The sequence below is a fragment of the Homo sapiens genome, chromosome 11 (assembly GCF_000001405.40).
Source record: "Homo sapiens chromosome 11, GRCh38.p14 Primary Assembly".
Lineage (NCBI taxonomy): Eukaryota > Metazoa > Chordata > Mammalia > Primates > Hominidae > Homo > Homo sapiens.
Genome location: NC_000011.10, coordinates 62,205,924 through 62,216,228, shown reverse-complemented (window position 1 = coordinate 62,216,228; position 10,305 = coordinate 62,205,924). Strand labels below are relative to the sequence as shown.

Below are 10,305 nucleotides of genomic sequence, written 5' to 3'. Positions count from 1 at the left end.
TGTGCCCCTGGTTTATCAAGACTGGAGAATGGTGATGACTTCTACCAACCATACTGCCTGTAAACATTTTGTTAACAAGGCACATCCTGCACAGCCCTAGATCCCTTAAACCTTGATTCCATACAACACATGTTTTTGTGAGCTCAAGGTTGGGGAAAATTACAGATTAACAGCATCTCAGGGCAAAGCAATTGTTCAGGGTACAGGTCAAAATGGAGTTTCTTATGTCTTCCCTTTCTGCATAGACACAGTAACAGTCTGATCTCTTTCTTTTCCCTACCCCGGGGGTCTTGGGTGGAAAACTTTCGATCTGCATTAGGAATGTTTGACCGGGAGGATATTTACATTTTTAAATTGCCATAGCAGCCCTAGGGATCATGTTTTTTTCCTTCCCTGAAAAGAGGATGTCTAGGATGGACATTAACTCGACCCAAGTGTGTAACCGAGGTCTCAAAAACTGATCAACCTGATCTGTCACTCTGTAAGTGTCATATAACAATGGCTTAAGTTTCTTCTTCAAACTTTAGACCTCCAAACTGGTTAAGGGAGTATTTACAAAGTCAGTAGTTCCATCTCCTTGTGGCACCTCTTTTAAGGGGAAGAGAGTTGGGGCTGACTCCTTAGGTGTGGAGGGAAATGGGAAATTTTGAATATCCTTTTTATATTGTTTTTTCTAATGCTGGAGTCTTTTTAGGGAAGGATACATGGGCTGAGAAGAAATAGGCTACATGGGCTGAGAAGAAATAGGCTCATGGGATGATGATTCCCAGGAATCTGGATTGTAAGGAGGAGGAATAATGTGAGCAAGGGAGGGATCTGGGGCAGGATCTGGGACAGAAGGGCTGTCTGAGGGGAAGGGTTAAGAGCATTCAGCAGGGGAAGATGGTCTAGGGGATCCCATGTGCTGGAGTCTTTAGGCATGAGAACTGGCTTTTCTGACTCTTTATTTTGGGGTTTTTGATTGAGTTTTTTCCTAATTGTCTTTCAGGGAAAAAGGAGAATAGGTCTCTGTCTCTAAAAAAGAATATAGTCCAGCTCTTCTTGAGAAACTAGATTTTTGTCATTTACATATTGAATTACAAGTTGACACATCACATCCTTATTTGACCTAAACTTTGGCCAGAAGATTGAGGGTTTGAGGATAGGTCTCTGAGTCCAAATAAAACAGCAATATTTTATCATCTGTTGCATGGCTTTTGTAGGTCACAGGTATTACATTGCCTTCATAGGCCACTTCTTCATAAGAACATTTTAAACATACTTTACAACTGTATTGGTAAGACGAAGTATAGAATTCAGGCTAGATTCATTGGTATATGTTCATTAATATTACAATCACTTCAGGAAATTATTCTTTAAATTATAACATTTTCATACACCCCTATGTATATTGTGGGCCTGGATCCCTGCCCTTGCCTTGCCTGATGGAAGAGTCGGCCCTGGTGAAGCTGAGTTGTCCAGACACATAGACAGGGTCTTCCTGGGTGAGGGGATAGCCCCAGAAGGAAAAGGGACAGGCAATAACCTAACCCTGGTGACAGGAGTGCTGGGGACAGGACACGATGGAGACCCCGGTTCCATTTAAACATCCCCTTCTGTGCTGGGTCCCTGCATAGCACACTCACTCCCCTCAACCCTCATTGCCTTTGCAGCTCACTGTGGGGCAGGGGAGGATGGACCCACTGGCAGAGACTGGACTGAGAAAAGTTGCACAATTTAAGGTGTCGCTATGCTAGCAAACTCAGTCATCAGGGTAAGTAATATTTTCATGCAATATTTTAAAAGTTCAAAATTAATGCCAACATCCATGAACGACAAATAAAACTCAAAATTTAAAATCCAGACAGGATCCACCTTGCTTTGCAGGCCTCCCCTCCCTGGCTGGCTCTGGTCTGGGCCCTGCACACGTTGGGGAGGCCCAAAGACAACCCAGAGGAGCCTGGCATAACCAGCAGGGCTCAGCATGGATGGGACTGGGGTAAAATCAGGGCTTCTGAGCATGACTCCAAGAGTGTGAGGTCCCCAGAGAAAGTGGCTTAGGGAGGTAGTGGGATGTGGAGAGTGAAACACTCTTCAGAGAAAAATTAGCTAAGCAACAAGAGCTAATACTTTGTTCTGCAGAGAGAGAGAAGTCCAACTCTTGGGCTCGAGATGATGAGAAATAAAGTATTTCCCAGAAACCTCGGACCCTCACTCAACTCCTTCGAGGCTTGTCTCTGTCTGCAACCTACAGCCTGACTGTGCAGCCTGGAAAGCTTCTTTTTTTATAGAAGAACAAGAAAGAATTTTAGTGATTTGCAGTTAGTTTATTGAAATGGAAATGAATTTGAGGTTTCAACAGTTGTCTAGCAGTTTCCACATAAAAAGACAACACAAGAAAGAAAAGTGGTTTCTAGCAATCAACAGATGAGTTCTGGCCATAGTCTGTAGCCCTCTGAGCCAAACGCCTTGGGTAAAGTTAATTACTCTTCATATTACACCAAATGCTGTCGTACACTGTATGCTGGAAAACAAAAGCAGGTCACTTAGGTTTGCAAATTTCACTTATTAAATCAAATATTAAAACTTGTCTTCTTGTTTTCTTGCATTTGTCCACAAACAGCTAACTCTCAGGAGGATTTGCAGTGGAAGCAAAGCCAGCATCCCCTCTCCATTTATTCTGTTATCTAGGAGACACTTCATAATGCCAAACAGGGGCCAGGGTTGTAGGATCTCTTCCCTACCAGTGATCCATGTAATACTTTTTTTCTCCAAAAATTCTATCCTTTGAAATAACTTATCCAATAAATATGCTGCATATACTATTTGTTGAAGACCTGATCATTTGGACTGTTTCTGATACCACTTTTACAACACAGAATTATTAAAAAATCTCAGCTCAGATACAAGAATGTGATGGTTTTGAGTTGCTGCACAGGCATAAAAGGTAGAAATGTTGTAACAGTCTGAGACTCTTCACCATTACCTTTGAGGCCTATGAAATATTGGAGCTGGGCTGGGTGGGATGGCTCATGCCTGTAATCCCAGCACTTTGGGAAGCCAAGGAGGGCAGATTGCTTGACCCCAGGAGTTTAAACCAGCCTGGACAATATGACAAAATGCCATCTCTACAAAAAAAAAAATATATATATATATATGTGTATATATGTGTATATATGTATATATGTGTATATATGTGTATATATGTATATATGTGTGTATATATGTATATATGTGCATATATGTGTACATATATGCATGTATATGTGCACATATATGTGTACATATGTGTACATATGTGTGTACATATGTGTGTATATATGTGTGTGTGTATATATATGTATATATATGCCAGGTGTGTTAGTGTGCACCTGTAGTCGCAGCTACTCAGGAGGCTGAAGCGGGAGGATCACTTGAGCCCAGGAGATGGAGGCTGCAGTGAGCTGTGATTGTACCACTGCATTCCAGCCTGGGCAAAAGAGCAAGACTCTGTCTCAAAAACAAAAACAAAGACAAAAAAACGGAAACAAGAAACACTGGAGTTTTACAATATGAATGATTAATCTGAGGGGTTTTTTTGGTTTGTTTAGGATTTTTGTTTGTTTGTTTGTTTTTGAGATGGAGTCTTACTCTGTTGCCCAGGCTGGAGTGCGGTGGCACTATCTTGGCTCACTGCAATCTCTGCCTCCTGGCTTCAAGTAATTCTTCTGCCTCAGCCACCCAAGCAGCTGGAATTACAGGTGTGCGCCACCACGCCTAGCTAATTTTTGTATTTTTAGTAGAGACAGGGTTTCAGCATGTTGGCCAGGCTGGTCTTGAACTCCTGACCTCAAGTGATCTGCCCGCCTTGGCCTCCTAAAGTGCTGGGATTACAGGTATGAGGGATGCACCTGGCTAATCTGAGTTTTTAAAGAAAAAAATGATTCAACCATCCCAAATTGCAGTTAATATTTATTTTTATCCTTGAGCATTTGATATATCTTTACATTTTTTATTATGGAATGTTTTAAATAAAATTTTAGGGTATTAAATAAATTCTTAAAAAAAAAATGTAATCCCAGCACTTTGGGAGGCTGAAGCGGGCAGATCACCTGAGGTCAGGAGTTTGAGACCAGCCTGGCCAACATGGTGAAACCCCATCTCTACTTAAAATACAAAAATTAGCAGGCTGTGGTGTTGTGTGCCAGTAATTCCAGCTACTCCGAAGACTGAGGCAGGAGAATCACTTGAACTCAGGAGCCGGAGATTGTAGTGAGCCGAGATCGTGCCATTGCACTCCAGCCTGAGCAACAAGAGCTAAACTCCATCTCGAAAAAAACGAAAAACAAAAAACAAAACTCGTAACCAACACATCTTTATAAACAGACAGAAATACTCCTTGTTATAACCACTGACTTTTGTTTTAAACAATTCTAGCACTCGTGCTGTTTCATACCCATAATCTGCACTTCCCACTTCATGAGGCACTTAATTAAGTGGTGCATGACTTCCAGTCATGTATGCTAACAAATCTTGGTTGCTTGGACTTGCATTTTAAATTCTTTATTTTAGGCCGGGAGCAGTGGCTCACACCTGTAATCCCAGCACTTTGGGAGGCCGAGGCGGGCAGATCACCTGAGGTCAGGAGTTCAAGACCAGCCTGGCCAACATGGTAAAATCTCATCTCTACTAAAAATACAAAAATTAGCTGGGCATGGTGGTACATGCCTGTAGTCCCAGCTACCTGAGAGTCTGAGGCACAAGAATTGCTTGATCCCAGGAGGCAGAGGTTGCAGTGAACGAAGATCATGCCACTGCACTCCAGCCTGGGCAACAGAGTGAAACTCCATCTCAAAAAAATTTTTTTCTTTATTTTAGAAAATGCAGAATTTGCACAAATTGTATTTTCTGAGCTAGATAAAAAAAAATAAGAATGTTTTGAATATTTGTTTTTGTGAAAGTAGGAAATTTCTTAGTAGATTGCTCCTACAAGTGTGTGATCTCTTGAGAACCAGATATTTTCTCTTGATAAAAATGTGCATGTTCTGGCTGGGTGCGGGGGCTCAGACCTGTAATCTCAGAACTCTGGGAGGCCAAGGGAGGCAGATCACTTGAGGTTAGGAGTTTGAGACCAGCCTGGCCAACATGGTGAAACTCCTTCTCTAGTTAAAATACAAAAATTAGCCCGGCGTGGTGGCGCACACCTGTAATCCCAACTACTCGGGAGGTGGAGGCAGGCAAATCTCTTGAACCCGGGAGGTGGAGGTTGCAGTGAGCCGAGATTCACGCCACTACACTCCAGCCTGAGTGACAGAGCGAAACTCCGTCTCAAAAAAAAAAAAAAAAATGCCGATGCCTGTCCCCGTGTGTCTGTGTGTGTCTATACTTGTGTGCTTATGTGTGTCTGTGTCTGTGTGAGAAGGGACTGGTGAGGTCAGAGGTAGACGGGTGATCTCTAAGGCTTTCTTTTCTCCTTTTTGCCTTTTCCATTTATCACTCCCTAAAGATTCTCAATGTGAAGTGGCAAAGCAGCCTGGAGACAAAGTTTAATGAATTGATATATAAAGAAAGTTTGTTCACCAGTTGCTTGGCATTCTTGGTGCCAAATTTAGAGCCCGCTGGTTCTGATCAGTGATTTTCAAAGGGTACATAAGAAGAAACCCAAATTACCATCATCAGTCCAAAGTTTTTCAGAGTTCTATGTGACTGGTTGAGGAAACACTGCTTGAATTTCCCCATAGCCTCTGCAGCGGCATCACTGTCTATGAACTCTTGAAGAAGCTCTTTGTATTCAGGTATAGATATGTCGGAATTGATGGTCTTTTCAACCATGTCCTCCAGGAGTTTGCAGCCAGAATCTGGAAAAAAAAAAAAAAAAAAAAAAGACACAAGAACATGGGCCATTACTAGAGGTGTGATTCATTCTACAGATGAATTGGGAAGCTGGCTATCTTCGTACCTCCAGGGACAGACCGAGGTTCAGAAAGATTTTGGTGCAGTATGCAGAGTTCTCAATTCTGGGAGTGTAAACTCAGGCTCTGCAAATTCTCTCTGACCTTCCAAACCCAGAGAAGCCCAACCCTGTGTATTCTTGGTGAAGAGGACCCTCGAGAAATGAGGTGTTCTGACTGGGGGGACATAGCAAACACTACTTGGACTTTCTTGGTTCAAAGTCATGCAATGCTTCCCTGTTATCATGCCCAGCATCAGGTAGGGTTTCCAAGGATTTCAGATGAATGGGTCTAGGACATTGTCCATTAGTTCTGTTGACTCTACTGCAATAAAAGGGAATGTGTGGCCAGGTATGGTGGCTCACGCCTGTAATCCCAGCACTTAGGGAGGCCAAGGCAGGCGAATTGCTTGAGCTCAGGAGTTTAAGACCAGCCTGGACAACACAGGGAGACCTCATCTCTACAAAAAATTTAAAAATTAGCCAGGCATAGTGGTGTCCACCTGTAGTCCCAGCTACTCGGGAGGCTGAGGCAGGAGCATTACTTGAGCCTTCGAGGAAGAGGTTGCAGTGAGCTGAGACTGTGCCATTGCACACCAGTCCCAGTCCCAGCCTGGGTGACAGAGCAAGACCCTGTCTCAAACACACACACACACACACACACACACACACACACACACACACATGAATGTGAAATAGAGCTTGTTCATGAGGGGATCTGAGGTCACCTCCCACTGTAAGGGAGAGGAACGAGCTCAGGACGTGGCTTCATGTGAGCTGGTTGTGCTCTGGACTTTGTGATTTTCCAGTTAGTTGACTGTGAGCTTGTCACCCTTCTACACATCTGCACCTACCTTGGATGCCAATACGGTAGGGTTTGGAATCCACCTTTGTGAACTGCACAAGGCAGGCTACCTATGGAAATATTAGCGCTGATTCCAGCAGCCGGGGCTTTTTCCTCCCACTGAATCTTTAGTGCTGGAAGGAGACTCCAGGGGTTGTGAGTTCTCACCTGTCTGCCTTGAGCCTGAAGCAACTGGGAGGGTAAGGGCATCCCAGAAGGACCCAGATCAACTCTGAGAACACAGAGTGAGCCACACAGGGTGAGAGACACTGGGTCACACTCTGCAGCCTGGGCCTTCTGTCCTGGGAGGTTTCCTATTTCGTTCCATATTCAAGGAGACCCATGATTATTTCCTGATTTCTAGGTGTAGATGCCATCTCTCCCTTGCCCCACTGAAATAGTTCATTTCAATATTTAATCCTGAGACTCATCCTGGTTTCTATGGTCACCGTGACCATGGTGAGACGCTGAGTGCCATGATACACTGTGTGCAGCTCCAATGCAGGGGACAGCCCATGAGGACACTGCATGCTTGATTGTCAGGAACTCATGGGGATCCTAAGGCCTATCGCACCCAGGCCCTTCACACTGGGGCTCGTCTGTGCTGGGGATTAGAGGTTGGGAGTTCTTCTACAGGGGCCCAGGTGACAATTCCTAGCCCAGAAGCAGCCCTCTCTGCCCAGAACTCACCTGCATAGCAGTGCAGGAGGAGGGCCGCCAGCATGAGGACCATCAGCAGCTTCATGGCGAGGCGGCTGCTGTCTGTGTTCAGTCGTGCGTGGCAGGGATCAAGGAAGTTGCTGTGGAGGTGAGTACCCAGCCCTGCTCTATTTATTCCCCAGGGAGGCACCTTAGTCCCTCCCAGGAATGAGGCAATGTGTCAACCTGGCATGGGACCAGGACACAATAGTGTACACCAATGGGAACACAGCCAGCCTGTGCTCTGTTTGTAGAAACCAAGAAGGCAGTAATATTTGGATCCCTGACAATCTGGGGACTACAATAATGATACATGGCTTTTAGTAAAATGGATGTGACAGTGTTTTCCAAAATATAAAGCAAAACCCAGTGGCGTGATCTTGTGGTCTCAACAATGTTGTTATTATTGTAGTTTTCTTCTAGTCCTCCTTCCCTTCTTCCTCCTCCTCCTTCTATTCTTTTTCTTCTATTCCTCTTGGTCTCCTCCTCTTCTCGTTATTCTTCAAGGTACAAACAGTTTCATAACTTGTGTATCTGCCGGTCCTGGAATCATCAAATATTTGGGCTATGTGCAATACCTGCATCTTCCTATGGGAGGCAGACCTTCCTAATCCATAGACATTTCTTTTTCAGAAAAGCGGGTTTTTTTGTTTTTGTTTTTTGGGGTTTTGTTGCTGTTGTTGTTGTTGTTTTGAGACAGAGTCTCACTCTATTGCCCAGGCTGGAGTGCAGTGGTGCGATCTTGGCTCACTGCAGCCTCCGCCTCCCGGGTTCCAGAAATTCTCCTGCCTCAGCCTCCTGGGTAGCTGGGATTACAGGCATGCGCCAGGACACCTGGCTAATTTTTGTATTTTTAGTAGAGACAGGGTTTCACCATTTTGGCCAGGCTGGTCTCGAACTTCTGACCTCAGGAGATCCACCTCACTCAGCCTCCCAAAGTGCTGGGATTACAGGCGTGAGCCACCATGCCCAGCCCCGAAAAGTGCTTTAAGTTTTGGGGAAAACATTAATATCTAACCTCTACTGAAAGCTTCTTGTTATTCTTGTTAAGAATTACAACACTAAGTTAATTCAACTTTACAAATTTATTTTACAATATATTTATAATTTAATTTGTGCTTAGTTCTTTGTTAGCCTTTTACGGTTTTCTATCCACTGACTGAGAGGATGCTGTGAGTGAGTGGAGTAACTGACTGCTTGGGCAGGCAGTGCTAGGCAGTGGGTGGCAATGGGGTTGGGTGATGATGAGATTTAGGTGATAAGATTTGGGCAGGTGTGGGTGTGGATCCTGGAGGCCACACGTACTCATGCTGTGTCTTTGGGCAAATTACAATGCTGGTCCCTCTGGGCTTCCTTTCTGTCTTTGTGAAACGGGTATAAGTGATGCTGAATTTTTTTTTTTTTCGAGACAGAGTCTTGCCCTGTTGCCCAGGCTGGAGTTCAGTGGCACGATCTTGGCTCACTGCAACCTCCGCCTCCCGAGTTCAAGCGATTCTCCTGCCTCAACCTTCTGAGTAGCTGGGATTACAGGCATGTGGCACGAGGCCCGGCTAATTTTCGTATTTTTAGTAGAGACGGAGTTTCTCCATGTTGGCCAGGCTGGTCTCGAACTCCTGACCTCAGGTGATCCACCCACCTCGGCCTCCCAAAGTGCTGAGATTACAGGTGTGAGCCACCGTGCCCGCCTGGCCGTGAATTTTTGTAAAGATGAGAGATACTCTGTAAATTTTTTTTTTTGAGATGGAGTCTCACTCTTATTGCCCAGGCTGGAGTGCAGTGGCGTGATCTCAACTCACTGCAACCTCAGCCTTCCCGGGTTCAAGCGATTATCCTGCCTCAGTCTCCTGAGTAGCTGGGATTACAGGTGTGCACCACCACGCCCAGCTAATTTTTATTTATTTATTTATTTATTTATTTATTTATTTATTTATTTATTTTGTATTTTTAGTAGAGATGGGGGTTTCACCATGTTGGCCAGGCTGGTCTCAAACTCCTGACCTCGTGATCCACCCACCTTGGCCTCCCAAAGTGCTGGGATTATAGGTTTGAGCCACCGCTCCCGGCCGACGCTCTGTAAATTTTTAATCACGCAGCCAAGCATGAGATAATTCTGAATAAATGGCAGTTGCATTCATGCGTGGATCCCTTGTTGTACGCATCACTGTTTTGCTTCTCCTGTGAGCTGGGCCTTGCACTAGATTCAGTTATAGAAACAGGTTAGACCAGGTGCTTGCTCCTGTGGACCTTATTTTCTAATGAAGGACACAAAGAACAAGACTAAAGATATATCAGAGGTATGAGAAAGTGGTCATTGCTGCAAAGAACAACAAAATATTCACAACAGCTGAATGCTGTCATAGATGGCCTGCCCAGGGGCAGTGGCCTGTAAGCCCCCCAAGGCAGCCTGTAGGAGCAGGTGCTGTTTCAGCTGAGACTTGGATGAGTGGATGGTGATGTCCAAGGACACATCTGGGGAAGAGAATTCCAGGGAGAGGGAACTGCAAGTACAGAAGCTTGAGGACAGATGGCACTGGCAAGGTAAGGAAGGGAAGGAACGTGGCCACATAGAATCAGGAAAAGGACGGGACAGCCTCACATGATAGAAAGCCCATCCCTGTTTAATTAGGGGCACAGTGAAGGTCATAGGAACAAGAAAAACAAAGTTGGCTCAGGTAAAAAAAGAAAAAAGAAAAAAAAAGAAGTCGATGAAACAGCCAGAGGAATGAATCCATTGTTAATTCCCTGTGAATGCATTGTTTTCTCTCTGGATTACTTGCGACATGTTTCTTTCCACCATTCAGGTGGAGCCTCAGTGGCCAAGAACAAACCTAATTTTGGGGAGGACAGAAAGGAG

The 10,305-nt window shown here is 44.7% G+C and overlaps 1 protein-coding gene across 1 annotated transcript; it reads right to left on the bottom strand.

The window, feature by feature from the left end:
* Positions 1 to 2,285: 2,285 nt before the first annotated feature.
* Positions 2,286 to 7,556, bottom strand: SCGB2A1 (secretoglobin family 2A member 1). The gene is made up of 3 exons (NM_002407.3): positions 7,443 to 7,556; positions 5,629 to 5,816; positions 2,286 to 2,503 (listed from the first exon to the last, which is right to left on the bottom strand). The coding sequence occupies exons 1-3, from the start codon at positions 7,495 to 7,497 to the stop codon at positions 2,459 to 2,461; spliced, it is 288 nt and encodes a 95-aa protein (NP_002398.1). The 5' UTR covers positions 7,498 to 7,556; the 3' UTR covers positions 2,286 to 2,458.
* Positions 7,557 to 10,305: the final 2,749 nt, after the last annotated feature.